At 37.6% G+C, this 22,125-nt stretch overlaps 1 protein-coding gene across 10 annotated transcripts in view; it reads left to right on the top strand.

The window, feature by feature from the left end:
• TTC17 (tetratricopeptide repeat domain 17) overlaps positions 1-22,125 on the top strand; it is a 136,012-nt gene that overhangs the window by 109,151 nt on the left and 4,736 nt on the right. For 2 of the 10 annotated variants that reach the window (XM_011520218.3, XM_047427254.1), the window contains one exon: positions 86-1,799. The exons of the other annotated variants lie outside the window; for them this stretch is intronic. In XM_011520218.3, the coding sequence (XP_011518520.1) occupies positions 86-118 (33 nt within the window). In that variant the 3' untranslated portion in view covers positions 119-1,799. Of the gene's footprint in view, positions 1-85; positions 1,800-22,125 lie in introns of those variants that run through there. 10 annotated transcript variants of the gene reach the window in all.

The raw sequence follows: 22,125 nt of genomic DNA on the forward strand, positions 1-22,125 counted from the left end.
AAAACAAAAGACAGAGAATAGAATCTTAAAAGATAGAGAAAAGAACTCACTTTCAAATGTCCAAGACTGACAGCTGACTTCTCAGCAGGAGCAATGGAACCAGAAGACAACAAAGTGACATTTCAATTGCTGGAAGAAAACAGCACCAACCTAGACCTCTGTACCCTGCAAATATCCTTTAAAAATGAAGCAAATAAAGTAATCATTATGTATGTTATTGGCAAAATGATAGACCAATAGAACAGTGGAACAAAAGAGAGAGGCCAAGAATAAACCTTTACATAGATGGTCAAATGATTTTCTCAAAGGGCACGACAGCATTTGAATGAAGTAAAATCTCTGTAATAAGTATGTCTGGAATGCATGGATATGCATATAGAAGAAAAAACCCATACCTCACATCATCCAGAAAAATCAACTTGAGATAAATTATAGACATAAAAGTAAAGCTAAAGCAATAAAGCTACCAGAGCAAAACATAAGATGTTCTCTTTAAGTTCTTGGTGTAGGCAGAGACTTCTTAGAAAACATGAACTATACAAGAAAAAAAAATTGGTAAGTTGGACTTCATTAAAATTTCTCAGCTGGGCATGGTGGCTGACACCTCCAATCCCATCACCTTGGGAGGCCAAAACAGAAGGATTACTTGAAGCCAGGAGTTCAAGACCAACCAGGGCAACATAGCAAGACCCCATCTCTACAAAAAATTTAAAAATCAGCCAGCAACGCCTGTAGTCCTAGCTACACAGGAGGCTGAGTTGGGAGGATTGCTTGAGCCCAGGACTTTGAGGATGTAATGAGCTATGATTGTGCCACTGCACTCCAGCTTAAAAAAAAATAAAATGTATCTTCAACAGACACTTAAGAAAATAGACACAGACTTAAAGAAAATATTCACAATACGTATATATGATGGACTTGAGTTCAAAATATATAAAGAACTACAATTTAGTAATTTTTAAAAAGACAACGCAATTTTTTAAAGGTGAGTTTTGTGAATAGATGTTTCACAAAACACAATATATGTGTAGTAATTACATTTTAAAAGTACCCAGTGTATTAGTCATCTAGAAATGAAAAACAAAACCCCAGTGAAATACCAGTTCATACCCTGTAGAAGGGCTAGACAGTGAAAAAGACTGATAATGACAAATGTTGGAGAGGATGTGGAGCAACTGGAACCCTCATATGTTGCTAGTGGGAGTAGAAAATAATATGATTATTTTGGAAAACAGTTTGTCAGTTTATTAAAGAGTTACATATATATACATGACCCAGTAATTTTGCTGCTAGAAATGTATCAAAGAGACATGAAAACATATGACCACAAAATACTTGGAAAAAAAATATTTACAGCAGCTTTATTCATAATAGCCAATAAAACTGGTAACAGTGAGGTGCCCATCAATAGAAGAATAGGTAAACAGTGGTCTATTGAGATGGTGGATACTGTTCAGCAAAAAAGAACCAACATCCACAACATTGACGAATCTCAATATTATTCTCACAAAAGAAGTTGGTAACAAAAAAATGCATAGTTAAGATTCTAACTATATGAAATTCCAGAATAGGGGGAAATAACATATAGGGATAGAAATCAGATCAGTGATTACTTCGTGGGGGAAGGTATTGACTGGAATACCGCATGAAAGAACTTTCTGGAGTGTTGGATATTTCTGTGTCTTTGTTACTTAATTGTCGAAAGTGAATGTTACACTTAGGATCTGAGCATTTGTTTATGTAAGTTATACCTCACTTTTTAAAAATGAAAGTTAAATAAAGATTTTAGACCACTAAAAGCTGGAAGATGCTTTTACCAACAGATTGTACTAAAAAATCAGTAAAGGATTTTTTCAGGCAGAAGGAAAACTATCCCACATGGAGGCTCAGAAATATAGGAAAGAACAAAAAGCCACAGAAAGGGTAAATGTTCGAGGAGACAGAGAAATGAGGATGGCTTTACAAAATATGGACGGTAACATCTTCCAAAGTAAAAATGTATGACAACAATAATAAAACAATAAAAGGCAGATGGGAACTGAAATAAAAATGAAATATCATTGATAATAAAACAATAAAAGGCAGAAGGGAACTGTACTGACCACGTTAGATAGTCCTAGGACCAGTTAGACATTTCACATTCATGCCGCTGCAGCAGCATCAGAGGTATACCTCCAGAGTGAGCCCTCACATAGTTCGCACCTTAGTCCAGGGGCCATTCTCTGCCCACCCGCATTTTCTGCCAAGTGTCAGTTCAGATAGAAGGGAACAAATCAATTTATTAATTGTGGGAACTACCCTAGTTTAGATACCCTAAGTTCCAATAAAGAATCAATATCTTTTGTAATAGCCTCATGAGCATAGAGTCCTGGAGAGGGACATGGCTTGGCTATAAGAACCGTGACACTCAGAAGCTCAAAGCTGTGGCTTTTCATCAGGTATTTGTAGTTTATTTACAATCATCTCAGTCCAGATAGGTTTACCAACCAGTGTTATTTTTTACCATATGTTACCTGTAACAGATATTAGATATTTAGGGAAATAAAGCTAGAAGTTTCATCCAACATTGTTTTCCATTTTAGGCTCACGGACGGACTTCCACGACCTTGAGTTAAAACTTTAGGGTAGATAGGAATTACCTGGAGGCCTTGTTAAAACACAAATTGTTGGTGCCCTATGACTTACTTCCTAGCTCAGTAGCTTTAGGGTGAGGCTTGAGAATTTACATATCTAATAAGTTCCCAGGTGATACTGGGTGATACTGCTGACCTGAGGACCCCACGTTAAAACCAATGCCTTATTCAATGGCAGTGATAACAAAGTAAAAGTGCCCCTTTCCTGTTTACTAAAGGGTCCCCATGTTCTTTTAGCTTCAGCCTTTAAAATACTAGTCATTATTTATTATTTCTTCAAAAGCCCATCTCTAATTGTCTCCTTAGGGAGTTTTTGAGTTCACATTGACATTAATTGTCACTAACTGTCAGCAGTTGGCATTAACCAGACTCTATTTTAGGATTAAATCCACCTGATCCACCTGCACTATCAGAACATTCAGGACGCGACTCAGGCTGCAGCTCAGAGGGCTCCACCGGTGGCCCTAGACTTGCATCAAGCTGCTGCCATTGCCACTGCACCAGCTTGTATGCCAGGTTACCACATAGTCCTATGTAACCATGTGGGCTGCTGTAGAGTAATTCCCCTACTTTTGTCCCCCACTTCCTCAGGTAGAGGCTCGTAGACATTACATTGGATGAGCAGGCAGCTCAGCTTGGTCAGAGCCAGCCGTCTGCTCCACCCACTTTGTCCTATCACAGACCCAGTCGCAGACATAAATTCTCAAGCTCATGTGCTTGTCTCCTTCCCACCCCCAGCCCGTCATCAATGCCTAGTTTGGCCTAATGCATCAGCTGCACCAAGGCAAAATCATTTTTGCCAACCAGCCCAGCTGCAGTTTGGTTTCTGGTCAAGTCCAATTTATGGACAGCGGAGAGGAGTGGACAGCTTCTCTCAGCATAAGTTTGTCTCCAGCTTTCATCCCTTCCCACGGGGGAAGATTTCGAAGCCAAAAGGTTAACATGAGATCAACTTCCCATGAGTATTCACGGATAAAGTGCTAGGTTTTAGCATTATCAAGAAAGTAATGAAATTAAAGTAATAATACGTATTTTCAGTGTGTAATAGGTTGAAGATGCAAGTTGCAATCTCTAGGCTAACCACTTAAGAGCAAAACATGTATAATTAAAGGAAAAGGAGTAATAAACATTTGATCAATTTTTAAAAAGAGACAAAGGAGGACAAAAGGAATGTGTGAAATGGAAGGCAAATAGTAAAATGACAGATAAACCTAATATATCAGTAAGCAGAATAAATATAAAAGGACTAAGTACTTCAGGTACTGGAGTACTGACATTATCAACTGGGTTTTCAAATATGAACCAAATTGTGTGCTTTTAAATATAAAATATACAACAGTTAAAATTAAACAAATTTTAAAAAGATATATCAGCCAGGCACAGTGGATCATGCCTGTAATCCCAGCATTTTGGGAGGCTAAGACAGGAGGATTGCTTGAGACCAGGAGTTTGAGAATAGCCTGAACAACAGAGACCATCTCTACTAAAAAAAGCAAACAAACCAACCTAGCCAAGCATAGTAGCATACCTACTCTGGAGGCTGAGGCAGGAGAATCCTGAGCCTAGGAGTTTGAGGCTGCAGTGAGCTATGATTGTACCATTTCCCTCCAGCCTGGGTGACAAAGTGAGACCCTGTTTCAGAAAAGAAAAAAGATATATCATGCAAATACAAGTAAAAAGGAAGTTGGTGTAGTTATACTAATATCAGATAATATGGAATTTAAGGTAAGAAGCATTACTACAGTTAAAGACAGACATTTCATAATGATAAAATGATCACTAGGGATATAGAAAGTTGTAAATTTATATGTAACTAATAGCATAGTTTTAAGTTCTATAACAAATATTAAACATAAATCTGCAGTCTTAGTGGAATTTTACATACCTCTCAATAGGTGATAGAATTAAGCAGACAAAAAAATCAGTAAAAATATAAATCATCTTACTAAAAAGCAAACTTGACCTAACTGATATTTCTATAATGTTGATATCAACTGTGACAAACTACTCATTTTTAAAAAGCCACATGGAACATTTACCATCTTGATCATAACCTGAGTCATAAATTAAGCCTCAGTTAAATTTTAACACATTTAAATCATTTACAGTATGTGTTCTCACCATAGTGGAATTAAGCTAAAAAAAAAAAAAAAAAGATCAGAAACAAAAGAAGAGATAGTAAATCTCCAGTCTGGGTGCGGTGGCTCAAGCTTGTAATCCCAGCACTTTGGGAGGCCAAGACCTGCAGATCACCTGAGGTCAGGAGATCGAGACCAGCCTGGCCAACATGATGAAACCCCATCTCTACTAAAAATACAAAAATTAACCATGTGCGGTGGTGCGTGCCTGTAATCCCAGCTACTTGGGAGGCTGAGGCAGGAGAATTGCTTGAACCTGGGAAGCAGAGGTTGCAGTGAGCTGTGATCACTCCACTGCACTCCAGCCTGAGCGACAGGGCGAGACTCCATCTAAAAAAAAAAAAAGAAAGAAAATCTTCACCTGTTTTGGTAACATTAAGCACTACACCTCTAAATAATCCATGGGTCAATGAAAAAAGCACAAAGGGAATTAGAAAATATTTTGAAATGAATGATACAGTGTAAAAGATATGGTATATCAGCACATGTGGGATGCAGTTAAAGCAATACTTGAGGGAAGTTTGTATCCTAAATGGATATATTAGTTTAAAACAGAAAGGGGAGAGGAGATGAACGTCAGTGATCTATGCTTCTATCTCAAAAAGCTAGAAAAAGAACAAATCAAAACCACACTACATTGAGATATTTTTCACCCATCACACTGGCAAAAATTCAGAAGTTTTATAAGACTAAAACCTCTTAGACTGTGGGGAAACACACTGCCATACATTGCTAATGAAAATGTGAAATGGGCCGGGCACAGTAGCTCACGCCTGTAATCTTACCACTTTGGGAAGCCAAGGCAGGTGGATCACTTGAGGTCAGGAGTTCTAAACCAGCCTGGCTAACATGGTGAAACCCCATCTTCATTAAAAATAAAAAAATAAAAATAATTAGCTAGGCTTGGTGGCAAGCACCTGTAATCCCAGCTACTTGAGAGGCTGAGGCAGGAGAATCACTTGAACTGGGAGGCGGAGGTTTCAGTGAGCCAAGATTGCACCCCTGCACTTCAGCCTGGGCAACAGAATGAGACTCTGTCTCAAAAAAAAAAAAAAAAAGAAAGAAAGAAATGGATGACCTTTACAGGGAAGAAACTGACTATATCTAGCAAAATTATACATTCATTTACCCTTTTAGCCAGCAATTCTACTTTTAGTAACTATTCCCAAAAATGCATTGGCAAAAACATTAAAACAAAAATACTTTTGAATGAGGCTGTTTATTGTAACCTGATTTGTAGCAAATTGGAAACAACCCAAATGCCCAGCAGTAGCGGAGTGATTAAATGAAAAGTTCCCTGTGGATGTACATTATGTGTGAACATCCACACAGTGGAGGCTTCCACACAGTGGAGGCTTCTGCAGCTGTCAAAAAGAACAAGGACCATTTCAGTGGAATAAAATCTCCAGGATATCAAGTGGAGGAGAAAAAGTGGAAAAAAATAATATCTTAGGATACTATTTATCTTTTTTAAAAAATGGCAAGGGAAGAGTGGATATATGTAGAGAAAAAGATATTTTAAAATGAAAGACTAAATCTTAAAAATATTTTTAAATGGTTTTCCATAGAGGAAAGAAAATGGGGTGGAGAGGACAAGGAATGAAGCTAGGTTCCTTGAATCTACATTATTTTTTCAATTTGACTTTGAAACCAAGTAAATATTTTGCACAATTACACAAAATTTTTAATAAAGCAGTTTCTACTTAAAATTAAATGAGCCTATGTATTCAGTTGGTAGCATAACCATACCAAGGGGAATTATCAAGAGGAATTATTCCAAATGACTTTAAAACACAATTACAGTTGACCCTTGAACAGCATGGAAGTTAGGGGTGCCAACTCCCTACACAGTTTAAAATCCACATATAACTTTTGACTCCTCAAAAACTTAACTACTAATAGCCCACTATTGACTGGCAGCCTTATGATAACATAAACAGTTGGTTAATACATATTTTATATATGTATTTTATATTGTATTCTTATAATCTATAGAAAAGAAAATGTTAAGAAAATCACAAGGAAGAGAAAATATATTTACTGTTCATTAAGTGGAAGTGGATCATCTTGAAGGTCTTCATTCTCACCATCTTCATGTTAAGTAGGCTGAGGAGTAGGAACGGAAGAAGAGGGGTTGGTCTTGCTGTTTCAGGGGTATTAGAGGCACAAGAAGTGAAGGAGATGGAAGGGGAGGCAGGAGAGGCAAGCACGCTTGGTCTTTTATTGAAAAAAATCCGTGTGTAAGTGAACCTGCACTGTTCAAACCTGTGTTGTTCAAGGGTCAACTGTATTTGACTATACATCCCTAATGAGATTTACCCTAAGAACCAAAGGAAACCTTGTACAGATTGATTATCCTTTATCCAAGATGCTTGGGACCAGAAGTGCTTTGAATTTCAGATGGGGTTTTTTTTTGAACTTAAGAGAGATGATTTAGGGTATCTGGTGGAAGAAATTTCTAAGCAGCAAAGCATTCAAGAGGTGACTTGGGTGCTGTTAAAGGCATTCAGTTTTATAAGGAAAGCAGTCGCCCAGGCTAAAGGTGCAGTGGCGTGATCACCACTCACTACAGCCTCAACCTCCCAGGTTAAAGCAATCCTTCCACCTCAGCCTCCCAAGCAGCTGGGACTACAGGCATGTGCCACCATGCCCAGCTAATTTTTAAATTTTTTAAATAGAGACAAGGTCTTCCCTGTGTTGCCCAGGTTCCTGGACTCAAGCAGTCCACCCACCTCCACCTCCAAAAGTGCTGGGATTACAGATGTGAGCCACCACACCTGGCCTCAATTTCAGATATTTCTGGATTTTTGAATATTTGCATTATTCTGCTTGAGCATTCCAAATCTGAAAGTCCAAAATGTTCCAATGAGCATTTCAGTTATCACGTTGGTGCTCAAAAAGTTTGGGATTTTGGAGCATATCAAATTTGGGATTTTCAGATTAGGTATACTCAACCTGTACTATTTTCAATAATGTTGTTAATGATATTGATAGTGTTCTTCTGAGATTCTAAGTGTATGTATTGTGAAATGAATGAGTTCTTTTTTGGTGTTGAGAACTAGAATTTTTGGTAGAGATGAAAGGAGATACAGATGTGAGAATGATGGCGTTAACACCTGTGGTCCTGAATTGGAAATATTGGTACAAATTCTGATGTGTTTTATCAGTTTTAAAATACAAAGTTCCTAGCTTTATTTGCTGAAAAAACTAGAGGTAATGACAGATCCAGTACTAATAAGCACCTTTAGTCTCTAGATTGTGGACTTTAGCTTCCATTTTAGTGGAAAGTGGTACCTAAAGGTCACAATCTAGGTGAACCAGTTTTCCTTGGAGAAATAGCTTCTACCAAGTATTTGAACCAGTATTCTTTGGAGAAAAAGCTTCTACCAAGTCTGGGAAAGCAAGGAAGCTCGCAATGACAACAGGTTGTATCAAAAGAATTTGGAATGAACTTGAATAAGCTCCCATTGGCCAAACATAAGACAGTTTGAGCAACAGGAGGATAATAACTGCAATGAATGAAATGCATCACCTACAATTAAACTACTGAATTTGCAGTGATAATTGTGCCTTGGAGAATGCATGGTGTATTCGTTCGTTTTCTTGCTGCTGATAAAGACATACCTGAAACTGGGAGCAAAAAGAGGTTTAATTGGACTTTCCGTACATCTTCTGAAATCTAGGTGGAGGTTCCCAAACTTCAATTCTTGACTTCTGTGCACCCACAGGCTCAACACCACATGGAAGCTTCCAAGGCTTGGGGCTTCCACCCTCTGAAGCCACAGCCCAAGCTGTATGTTGGCCTCTTTCAGCCATGGCTGGAGCAGCTGGGACGGAAGGCACCAAGTCTCTAGGCTGCACGCAGCACGGGGACCCTGGGCCCAGCCCACAAAACCACTTTTTCCTCCTGGGCCTCTGGGCCTGTGATGGGAGGGGCTGCCGTGAAGTTCTCTGATGTGGCCTGGAGACATCTTCCCCATGGTCTCAGGGATTAACATTAGACTCCTTGCTACTTATGCAGATTTCTGCAGCTGGCTTGAATTTCTCCCCAGAAAATGGGTTTTTCTTTTCTATCGCATAGTCAGGCTGCAAATTTTCTAAACTTTTATGTTCTGCTTCCCCTATAAAACTGAATGCCTTTAACAGCACCCAAGTCACCTCTTAAATGCTTTGCTGCTTAGGAATTTCTTCCACCAGATACCCTAAATCATCTCTCTCAAGTTCAAAGTTCCACAAATCTCTAGGACAGGGGCAAAATGCCACCAGTCTCTTTGCTAAAACATAACAAGAGTCACCTTTGCTCCAGTTCCCAACAAGTTCCCCATCTGCATCTGAGACCACCTCAGCCTGAATTTTATTGTCCATATTGCTATCAGCATTTTTGGCAAAGCTACTCCACAAGTCTCTAGGAAGTTCCAGACTTTCCCACATTTTCCTGTCTTCTTCTGAGCCCTTCAAACTGTTCTAATCTCTGCCTGTTACTCAGTTCCAAAGTCACTTCCACATTTTCAGGTATCTTTTCAGCAGTGCCCCACTCTGCTAGTACCAATTTACTGTATTAGCTTGTTTTCATGCTACTGATAAAGACATACCCAAAACCAGGAACAAAAAGGTTTAATTGGTCTTACAGTTCCACATGGCTGGGGAGGCCTCAGAATCATGGCAGGAGGCAAAAGATACTTCTTACATGGTGGTGGCAAGAGAAAAATGAGGAAGAAGCAAAAGCAGAAACCCCTGATAAACCCATCAGATCTCATGAGACTTATTCACTATCACGAGAATAGCATGGGAAAGACCGGCCCCCATGATTCAATTACTTCCTCCTGGGTCCTTCCCACAACACGTGGGAATTCTGGGAAATACAATTCGAGATGTGGGTGGGGACACAGCCAAACCATATCACATGGGAATAGTTTTTTTTCAATGTAGATATAATTAAAAGTAAAAAGCATGTGTCCTTCCTTTTCTAAATTAATTTTTTTTGGGGGATAAGCAATTGATGAGGGAAAGTCTCTCTAGGAATATTACGATTAATAAACTGAAAGTGATAATAACATCAGTATATTACAGTTTTGTAGCCCTTAATGAATATCAGCAGTGATCATCACTTGCTGCTAACATCTGAGACACCCAGACAGTATGTGTGTATCATTAGAAGTACACACCTATAAAGTAGTTTTGTCCCACTCTTCCCCCAAAAGTTAAATCTAAACCAGTCACTTCTGTAATTACAATTTGTGAGAAATAACAGGGAACAAAGGAGCATGTTAAATGGTACCATGAGGATGCAATATCAGAGTCTAATGCTGGAAACCAACAGGACAGATAACCCTATTTCTTCTACAAAAATAAATTTGTAAAGAAAAAACTAATGAAGATGGACCCCAGAGATCACAACAGATTTAAGGAGAAAGCAGCCAATTAAAATGTATGGCGCTCATTTAGATTGTGATTCAAACTGTAAAAGCAAAATGAAACTTCTGTAAGACACTTGGGGTACATAGGAACAACCAACTGAATACTTGATGATATTAAAGAATCATTTTCACTTCTTTAGGCATAATGTACATAAGCTTATGTTCTAAACATGAGTTTTTATCTTTTAGAGGCACACACTAAAGAATTTACCCATGAAATTGTATGAAATCTGGAATTTGCTTCACATTAACATGGATGAGGGTATAGATGAAACAACATGGCCATGAGTTGATAAGTGTTGAAGCTGAATGATGAGCACATGAGGGTTCATTATATTGTTTTATTTATTTATTTATGTAATTTAAAGTGACAGGGTCTCCATCTGTCACCCAGGCGAGAGTGCAGTGACACAGTCTTAGCTCGCTGCAGCCTCAAACTCCTGTGCTCAAGTGATTCTCCTGCCTCATCCTCCCTGCCCCATCCCGCAACCCCCAAAGTAGTTAGGACGACAGGCACGGACCATGCCAAGCTAATTTTTAAATTTTTTTCATAAAAATGTAGTCTCGCTATGTTGCCCAGACTGGTCTCAAACTCCTGGCCTCAAGCAATCCTCCCACCTTGGCTTCCCAAATTACTGAGATAACAAGGTGTGAGCCACCGCACCCAGCCAGGAGTGCAGCTTTTAAAAGAGTAGTTCCAGGCCGGGCGTGGTGGCTCACGCCTGTATTCCCAGTGCTTTGGGAGGCTGAAGCAGGTGGATCACCAAGTCAGGAGTTCGAGACTAGCCTGGTCAACATGGTGAAACCCTGTCTCTACTAAGAATACAAAAAATTAGCAAGGTGTGATGGCTCACACCTGTAATCCCAGCTACTCTGGAGGCTGAGGCAGGAGAATAGCTTGAACCCGGGAGGCAGAGGTTGCAGTGAGCCAAGATCACGCCACTGCACTCCAGCCTGGGTGACAGAGCGAGACTCCATCTCAAAAAAAGAAAAAAAAAAGTTCCTTTATTTTTGTATATACTTGAAATTTTTCATTATAAAACATTTAAATGATGTGATTACAAAGATGAGAAACAAATAGCATCAGAAATGAGTAGGTAAATTTAAAAAGCAAATTAGCCATCTTAAACTAAAATAAATTGTGTAAGTCAGATATTCAGTTGATGGGTTACATGAATTAGACATAATTAAATAGTGAATTGCAAGCTTTGTAAAAAATTTACCTGAAATATTATAGAGACAAGGAGACAAATGAATCAACAGACTTAGGAAGTACCATGTATTCCAAGCTGGAAAAGTAAAAAGAAATCCATACCTACATACATTATAGTAGAACTACAAAATAGCAAAGGCAAAGGTATCTTAAAGCATCCATTTCAGTCAGGGTACTGTCAGGAAAACAGAAATAACACTAGGTATTTCAGAAAAGCAAATTTGATTTAGAGAATTGATGACGTTGTAGAGGGCTGAAAGAGAAAAAGGAAACAAGGAAGTAAACTAAAGATAACTGTAGGGAACAGCTCCCACCTCTAGGTGTGGAAAAGGGCAGCAAGTGATTAGGGTTTTCAGAATTTAGAAGTTTACAGGAGAAACTGAGGAGCTGGAGCTCTTGCTTCCACAGAGAGGGACAGCCTTGTGGCAGAAGGGTGCAGTGAGCCTGGGTCTGGGAGTGCTTAAAGAACCTGGAGACTAGAGTGCTGTTGCTGGAATAACACTGACAGGAGCAGCATGCAAATAGGAAGAAAGAAGTCCCTTCTCCCTCTTGCCTTCCAATCTTCTAGTGCACATGTTTGCTGAACCTAACAAGAAGCCTGTTAACAAAGGAGAAATGTGGTTTGCAGAGTGCCAGCAGTTATCGCAAAGCAGATTTGGACCTGAAAGACAATAGCTCAATAAGTATCACAGTAGCCATGTATTCATTCACTCATTCATTTATTCATTCATTCAGCAAATGGTTAGTAGAAGCTTACTATATGCCATTTACTTTTTAAATGGTTGGGATAAATCAGTGAAAAACAACTCAAAAGATCTCTGCCCTCATGGAGACAGAAAGAAAGGACAGATCACCTACAAGGAATGATGGCTAAAATGACAACCTATTTAATAGCCACTATTAAGGCCAGATGAATTGTGAAAGGATACCAGACCCCCTAGAATTGTGTGACCTACAATGAAGAAAGAATAAAGATATTTAAAGATAAGCAAAGAGCTAGAAAAATTTACTACCAAGAGTGCCGTTCTAAAGAAAATTTTTTATATGATGGCTGCAGAAGAATTATCTGAGACCCAAGAAGATTTGCTAAGCAAATAAAATGACAAAATGCTAAGCAAATAAGATACAAACCCAAACATTGTGGAAAATAATAATTTGTGGGATTTTAAAAGAAATGACTGAAATACTGTACAAAGTAGAACGTATATTTAAGAGTGGGATGATCAGATCTTAGGTTTTCAAAAGCCCTTTTATTATGCAGGAGAAGAGAGTTATAATACATTGTTTAGACTTTGTTAAATTTTTACAGTAAAATTTAAGGGTATCATTAAAAGAATACACAAATCTAAAACCTGTGAGGATAAAATAATGAAGTAAGAAGAGGATGAGCCAAAAAAAATCAATACAAGAAAATGCAAAAAAAAAAAAAAGCATTCAAGAATCTGGACAAATATAAAATGATCTATAATACAGCAGTGACAATAATGTGAAATCAGAAAACTTTTAAAGGAACTGCATATTTTTATGACTACATCTAAAACAAAAAAGTTGGAAAAGAAATACCAGGTACAAACTAATAAAAAGGAGGTAGTAGGCATAGTTATATTAATTACCTGAAAAACATATATTTCAAAACAATAATTATTAGGAGTAGAGAGAATGACTACATAATGATAAAATGTTTCATTCACCAGAAAGATATACCAGTTCTAAACTTACACATATTCAGTAAAATACCCTCAAAATATGTAAAGCAAACAAAAGAAAGATAGATGTACAGTTAGAAATTGCAAATCTGTCAACATAAACACTCTTCTCCATTATGCATAAGTCAGTCAGTTTGTACCTGTGTTTATGTTCATGAGGGATATTGGTCTGTGGTTTTTTTTATTATGTTTTTGTGAAGTTTTGGTATCAGGATAATAATGACCTTGTTTAATGAGTTGGAGGTGTTTCCTTCACTTTAGTTTTCTGAAAAAGTCTGTAGAGAATTCCTTAATATTTGATAGAATTTGCCAGTGAAGCCATCTGGTCCTAGAGTTCTCTTTGTGGGAGGTTTTTAATTATAGCTCTAATATCTTTAATAGATCTAGGGCTATTCAAATTATCTCTTTCTTCTCTGGTGATCTTTGGTAATTGTGTCTTTCAAGGGATTTGTTTATTTCATCTAAATTGTTTATTGGCAGAAAGTTCTTCATATTATTTTCTTATCATCCTTTTACTATCTGTAGGATCTGTAGTAATGGACCCTCTCTTAATCCTGATATTGGTACTTTGTATCTTATCTCTTTTTTTCTGATCAGACTCGCTAGAAGTTTATGAATTTTATTGATTTTTTTTGTTGTTGGGGAATAGGGGGACAGAGTCTCGCTCTGTCGCCCAGGCTGGAGTGCAGTGGTGCGATCTCAGCTCAGTGCAGCCTCTGCCTCCTGGGTTCAAGTGATTCTCGTGCCTCAGCCTTCTGAGTAGCTGGGGTTACAGGCTTGCACCACCATGCCTGGCTAATTTTTGTATTTTTAGTAGAGATGAGGTTTCACCATGTTGCCCAGGTCAGTCTCAAACTCCTGAGCTCCAGTGATCCACCCACCTCGGCCTCCCAAAGTGCTGGGATTACAGCCACCATGCTTGGCCATTTTATTGATCTTAAATAATCAGTTTGAGGATCCACTGACTTTCCACCATCTTTTTGTTTTCTCTTTCATTTATGTCTGCTCTTATCTTTGTAATTTCCTTGTCTTCCGCTTGCTTAGGATTTAATTTGCTTTTCATTTTTTAGGTTTTTAATAGTTTTTTTTTTTTAGGCTTTTAATATAAGCTTGTATTATTGACTTGATCCCTGTCTTCTTTTCTAATGTAGATGTTCAATGCTAAAAGTTTCCTGTAAATTTATGACAAATTTAACTTGTCATATTTTCATTTTCATTCAATTCAAAGTACTTTATAATTTTCCTTCTAATTTTTTTGACCCATGAGTTATTTAGGAGTATGATATTTAGTTTCCAACTATTTGGGTGTTTTCTAGATATCTTTCTTTAATTGATAGCTAGTTTAACTCCATTGTAGTAAATGAACATACTTTGTATGATTTGAATTCTTTTCAGCTTATTCAAGCTTGTTTTATGGGCCAGAATGTGGCCTATCTTGGTTAATGCTTCATGTGCACTAGAAAGGAATATTGTCTTCTGCTTTTGTTAGGTAGAGCATTTTAGAAATATCAGTTAGGTTAAGCTCCTGATAGTATTGTTTATATTTTCTTTACTGATTTTTCTGGTCTTCTATAAGTTATTGAGAGGCTAATTCAACTATATTAATAATTATGAATTTGCTTGTATCTTATTTTAGTCCTGTAAGTTTTCGATTTGTGTATTTCTAAGTTCTGTTACTAGATGTAGAAATCAATGAAATAGAAAACAAAGATATAATAGAGAAGATGAACAATCCAAAAGTTGTTTCTTTGAAACAAGTAGTAAAATAAACTTTTGGCAAAATTAAGATAAAAAGAAAGTACAAATTCTCAATATCAAGAAAAAGGGCAAAACAAAACTATGGTTATATCAAATTAAGGGATAAGAAAAGCATATAATTGCAACTTTATGCCAATAAATTTGAAAACAGGTAGACAATTTCTTAGAAAAATGTAATGTATTAAACTGATTCAAGAACAAAAAGAAAACCTGAAGAATCTCATAATTCTCAAATAAATTAAGTAGTAAGTTTTTAAAAAATCTTCTCACAAAGATTACAACAAGGTCTGTTGATTTTGCAAGTGTGAATTCTACAAACTTTTGAGAAATACCTCATCCTAATATAAACAGACTTCCAGACATTAGAATAAGGAATGACATACCAGTTAATTCCTTGAGACGGGTATAAACTTTAAAACAAAACCAGACATTATGAGAAAGAAAAATAATATATATTTATATATGTTGTCATATATAATTTTTAAGTTAGCACTAATCTCACTCATGAACTTAGGTATCAAAATCAAAATCATAAGCAAAATGTTAACAGACTGAATCCAGCAGCACATTTCTTTAAAAAGAGATATACCTTGACCAAATTGGGTTTATCCCAGAAATACTGAAAATGGTCTAACTCTAGGAAAACGCAAAATTTGAGTCACCAAATTAAAGGAAAAAAACTATGAAATCATTTCAGTAGATTGCATTTGATACAATTCATACCCATTTATAATGTAAAACTTAGTAAATTCCTTAATGTGGTGAAAATAATCAACAAAACATCTACTTCAAAGATGATTCTTACTGAGGAAATATGAAAAATAATTACTTGAAATCAAGAAAAAGAATGCAGACTATCACCACTTCTTTTCAACCTTGTACTGAAACTCCTAGCAAGTATAGTAAATCAATAAAAAGAAATTAGGCTGGGCGCAGTGGCTCACGCCTGTAATCCCAGCATTTTGGGAGGCCGAAGTGGGCAGATCACTTGAAATCAGGATTTCAGGACCAGCCTGGTCAACACAGTGAAACCTCCTCCCTACTAAAAATGCAAAAATTAGCCAGGCGTGGTGGTGCAGCCCTGTAATCCCAGCTATTCAGGAGGCTGAGGCAGAAGAATCACTTGAACCCAGGAGGCGGAGGTTGCAGTGAGCCGAGATTGTGTCACTGTACTCCAGCCTGGGCGAGAGAGCGAGACTCCATCTCAAAAAAAGAAAGAAATAAATTAATGGCATAAGTGTAAAGAAGAAAAAACAAAATGTCATTCAGAGGTGATATGATTATCTGTATAGTAAACCCCAAAGACTCCACAGTTTTTTAGAAATAATATTTTTCTCAAAGTGGCTTCCCGTAAACTCAATAAATAAAAAGTTGCATTTCTGTACAGCAGCACAAAATTTAAAAGTGTAATTTTTAAAAATATACATCGTTATAAAAATATAAAGTTCTCAATAAATCTTACAAAAGTTATCAAGACCTCCGTGCAGCAAGAGATAAAACTTCTATTAAAAACCATTTTAAACAATCTAAATAAATAGATATATAATGTTCATGGATAAGAAGACACATGTTATAAACATGTCAGTTTTCCTCAATTTGATTTATAGAGTCAATGCTATTATAATCAAAGTACCAGCAGGGTTTTTTTATGGCACTTGAAAAGCAGGTCTTTATATGGAAAGGTAAATCATGAAGAATAGACCTGACACTCTTGAAAAGAAAAATAAAGTGAGAGTTGCCTTACTTTTTTGATAAAACAAGACATTATGCTGTTTGCTCAAGCATAAATAAAAATGGCTAGGAAGACTAAATAGGAAGGCCAGAAATAGACTCGAATACAGGGGTCCAACTCCCAGGCCACGGATGGGTACTGGTCTGTGGCCTGTTAGGAATTGGGCTACACAGCAGAAGGTGAGTGGCAGGTGAACTTCATCTCTATTTACAGCCACTCCCCATCGCTCGCATTACTGCCTGAGCTGTACATGCGAGGGATCTAGGTTGCACGGAAGTTCCTTATGAGAATCTAATGCCTGATGATCTGTCACTGTCTCCCATCACTCCCAGATGGGACCATCTAGTTGCAGGAAAACAAGCTCAGGGCTCCCACTGATTCTACATTATGGTGAGTTGTATAATTATTTCACAGTGTAATAATAATAGAAATAAAGTGCACGATAAATGTAATGCACTCGAATCATCCCAAAACCACCCCCTACCCCATCCATGGTAAATTTGTCTTCCATGAAACTGGTCCCTGGTGCCAAAAAGGTTGGGGACCTCTGCTCTAACATACAGAACTGTGATATATTAAAAAAGTAATATTGAAAATTGGTGGGAAGAGAAGGGACTATTCAGGAACTGTACTGGGGCAATTGCTTACTTAATTTCAATCTTCATATCTTACACAAAAATTCAATTCCACATGAATTAAGGGCTCAAGTATCAAAAACAAAATGTTAAAACTTAGAGTAAAATGTAGGAGATGACCTTTCTGGCTATGGAGTAAGGAAAGTTTTCTTCTTAAAGGAGACACAAAATAACTATAAAAGAAAATGTTAATGAATTAAAGTATATTAAAGTTTAATTGTTTTAATTAAAGAAAGGCAGGCCAGGGAGAAAACATGTGCAACACATTTAATCTACAAAAGATTAATATACAAAACATATAAATTGATGAAAAGTAATAAAATAGAAAAATGCATTAAAGATATTAACAGGCATTTCACAGAAGTGATATGTGTGATGAATAAATATGAGAAACAATTCTCAATCTCACTAGTGATCAGGAAATGCAAAGTAATACCACAGGAAGATGCCATTTTCCCCTCACCAACAGTACCTAGGGTTAGGAAGGACATGGATCAAGAGGTCCTTTTAAACAATGTGAATGGGGTTGTATGTTGGCATGGCACCTTTGGGAAACAATTTGGCAATCTCTTGGTTTTTTGTTTTTTTTTTTTTTTTTTTTGAACATATGCATATCCCGTGGCCCAGAAATTCTACTCCTTGGTATCTACTCTAGACTATAACAGGAGACAACCAGGAAGCAATCTAAATGCCCATCTACAGAAAATGGATAAATACCATGTAGTATATTCAACTTAATGAGCATTTAATTGTGCAGCAAGGAAACTGAATAAACACAACATGAATGAATCTTAGAAATATAATGTTGAATAAAAAGCCCCAAGTTTGTCAAGTCTGCATACAATACGCCATAGTCCCCCCCTTATTTGCAGCTTCATTTTCCACGGTTTCAGTTATCCACAGTCTATTATGGTCCAAAAATATTAAATGGAAAATTCCAAAAATAAATATAAGTTTTTAAGTTGTCCACCATTCTGAGTAGCATGATGAAACCACCTGCTGTTGGGCTCAGTCCACACGGGATGTGAATCATCGTGTAGAAGCTCCCTGCCTGTCATTATCAGATTGAAAAAAAATAGTAGATGTAAAACTGGATGCTATCCATGGTTTCAGGCATCCACCGCGGGTCTTGGAATGTATCCCTATCAGGTAGGAGGGACTACTATACCATTTTCATAAAGTACAGGAAGAAGTAAACTAATGTATATTGTTGAGTCAAGTATACATGTATGTCAGAGATAGAACTATGTTTAAAAGGTGAAATGGAATAATAAAGATAACATTTAGAATAGTGTGTGAGGATAGAATGGTGTAAGAACACGTAAGTAAATACAAGTTCCATTTTTCAGTAAGGTGGTCGTTTCTGGAATATTCATTGTATGTTTTACAGCATGAATATGTTTTACATAGTTATATACCTAATATTTAACTATGTTATATAATTATATATTTACTTGGCACGGTGACTCATTCTGATAATCCTAACACTTTGGGAGACTGAGGCAGGAGGATCACTTTAGCCCAGGAGTTCAAGACCAGCCTGGACAACATGGCAAAATCACATCTCTACAAAAAATTTAAAAATTAGCCAAGCATGGTGGTGCATGCCTGTAGTCCCAGCTACTCAGGAGGCTGAGGTAGGAGGCTGAGACAGGAGGATCACTTGAGCCCAGGAGTTCAAGGCTACAGTGAGCTATGATCACACCACTGCACTCCAGCCTGGGAGACAGAGCAAGAGCTGCCTCAGAAAAAAGAAGAAATTATATATTATATGTGTATTTAATTATTTATGTTCTTTTGTGTGTCAGATATTAGCATTAAAGAAATAACTTTTTTGTTTGTTTGTTTATTTGTTTGTTTTGAGACAGAATCTCACTCTGTCACCCAGGCTGGAGTGTAGTGGCGCAATCTTGGTTCTCTGCAACCTCCTCCTCCCGGGTTCAAGTGATTCTCCTGCCTCAGCTTCCTGAGTAGCTGGGATTACACACACCTGCCACCACACCAGGCTAATTTTTGTATTTTTAGTATAGACGGGTTTTCAGTGTGTTGGCCAGGCTGGTTTCGAACTCCTGACCTCACGTGATCTGCCTTCTTTGGCCTCCCAAAGTGGTGAGATTACAGGTGTGGGCCACCACACCTGGCCTAAGATCATTTTATTTAAAATCCTTTTGGAATACCAGTCAAAAAGAACAAATCATTTAACAAGGAGAAACAAGTTGGGCTAGCTTCAGATTTCTCTGCAGCAGCATTCCACAGCAAGAGGCAATAGAGAAATGCTGACACATTATTTGAGGAAAGAATAAGCTGTGGTTTTAAATCCAACCAAGCTGTCTTTTAGCTCTGAAAGCACCAGACAGAAGTTTTTCAACATATATGAGTGTATTAGTTTGCTAGGGCCACTAGAACAAAATGCCACAGACAGGGTGGCTTAAACAGCAGAAATTTATTTTATCACTGGTCTGGGGGCTGGAAGCCTGAGATCAAAGTGCTGGCAGGGTTGGTCTCCCCTGAGACCTCTCTCTTCGGCTTGCAGTTGGCCTCTTGCTGCCTCTTCACATGGTTGTCCCTCTGTGCACACAGGACCCTGGTGTGTCTGTCCTTCTTCTAGCTCCTTCATATAAATCCAGTCATTTAGAGTTAGGGCCCCACTCTAATAGCCTTATTTTAACTTAATCATTGCTTTAAAGACCTCCACATACAGTTACATTCTGAGGTACAGGGGATTGGGACTTAAAAATATGAATTTTGGGGGAACATAGTTCAACCCATAGCAGTGATCTCAAAGAATATTGTTCCCATGAGCCGTTCTTGAGGAAACTATTAGAAGATGAGCTTTAGCCAACCAGGAGATGATTGGGAAAACCACACAAAAGTAATGTCAGTGACCACTGATTATATTCAGCTGTAAAACCAATACTAAAAGGTGAGGCATAGAGTGATAGGTCAGAATGTAAATACTATACGCCCTGAAAATGTAGAATTATAAAATTAACAAAAATGTTATTGAAAACACAAATCAGACAAGCAGTTAAGTTTTCTGAGTGCCTCTTCTGTAATGGCTGGGAGTCAGAGATCATCAACCAAAAGTTGCAAATGAAATAGATTTTAAAAATCCAAAGTTAGACCTAAATTCAAAATTCAACCTAAATTAAATACTGTATTTATATATAGTATAATATATATATTACTTTATATATAGTAAAGGTAGTATCTCAGTGGGGAGAGAGGTGAATTATTAATTAAATTTTGAGACAAATTAGTAGCTATCTGGAGAAAAATTAAGTTGGAGCCATATCTTTTACTTTACAGCAGATTAAATTTCAAATGGATCAAATATTTAAATGTAAAAAATGAAATTATAAAAATTCTGTAGGGGAAATGGTGAAATATTTATTTCTTTTGCTTTTTAAGAGACAGGGTCTCACTCTGTCTCCTGCAGGCTGAAGTGCACTAAGTGGTGTGATCATAGCTCACTGCAACCTCAAACTCCTGGGCTCAAGCGATCCTCCTGCCTCAGCCTCCTAAGTAGTTGAGACTACAGGTGCACACCATCATGCCCAGCTGTATTTTTTATTTTTTGTAGAGACAGGATCTTGCTGTGTTGCCCAGGCTGATCTCCTCTTGCCTTGGCCTCCCAATGCACTAAAATTACAGCCGTGAGCCACCAAGCCTGGCCCAGTAAAATTTCTTTATATCCTTGGAATGAGGTAGGGCTTCCTAACTACAACTGAAAATCCAGAAGTCATTGAAGATCACTAAAAAACCAAATTCTGTAGCAATCAAAATCTACATCACACAAAGTACCATAAGTCCAAAGACAGACTTCAAACTCGGGAAGCTTATCTGTAAATCATAGGCAAGGATGATCTCCCTAAAATATAAAGAACTTTTTACCAACAGACAAGACAAAAACCTCACAGAACAATTAACAAAATATGAATGCAAATAGTTTACAGAAAAGACGTTCAAAAGGCTAACAAATATGGAAGAATGGTCAACTCTACTCATAAGAAAGGAAATGCAGATTAAAACCACATTTCTCACCCATCAGATTGTCAGGGGCCTAAGAGTTTAGTAACAAACTCTGTGATGGGGCTATAAGGAAATGGTGATACTTAGATATTTCTGGCAGGAGATTAAATTGTTATAATCCGGGTGGGCATGGTGGCTTATGCCTGTAATCCCAGCACTTTGGGAGGCCGAAGTGTGCAGATCACCTGAGGTCATGAGTTCGAGACCAGCCTGGCCAACATGGTGAAACTCTATCTCTACTAAAAATACAAAAATTAGACAGGCGTGGTGGTGCACTCCTCTAATCCCAGCTACTCGGGAGGCTGAGACAGAAGAATCGCTTGAACCTGGGAGATGAAGGTTGCAGTGAGCTGAGATCATTCCACTGCACTCCAGCCTGGGCGACAGCGAGACTCTGTCTCAAAAAAAAAAGGACAAAGGAAAGGAGGGGGGAGGGGGGAGGTGAGGGGAGGAAATTCTAGAAGGAAACGTAAAAAATTAAAAATAATGTTTACTTGTCTACCATAGAGACGAGGATGGGAGAGAGACTTCATGGTATAACTTTGTATACTTCCTGGTTTTTGAAACGTGTGACTGTGTTACCTATTCAGAAAGTTAAATAAAATAGAACATAGATATGAGATATAGTTCTGCTATTCAGTAGTTGAGTGAACTTGGGCAAGACACTTAAGCTCTCTGAGTCATAGTTTTCTCATTTATAGAAGGGCTGTAATAGTAGTATCAAGCTCACAGGATTGTTCTAAGGATTAATGAAGGACAGGTGGAACAGAAAGTGCTGAGCAGAGTGCCAGCACTTAGTAAATACTCAGTTGAATGGTCATGACTTGTGTTACTGAACTTAATCTTGGTAATAAATGAGTA

The sequence above is a fragment of the Homo sapiens genome, chromosome 11, assembly GCF_000001405.40.
Source record: "Homo sapiens chromosome 11, GRCh38.p14 Primary Assembly".
In the NCBI taxonomy this organism is placed as follows: domain Eukaryota; kingdom Metazoa; phylum Chordata; class Mammalia; order Primates; family Hominidae; genus Homo; species Homo sapiens.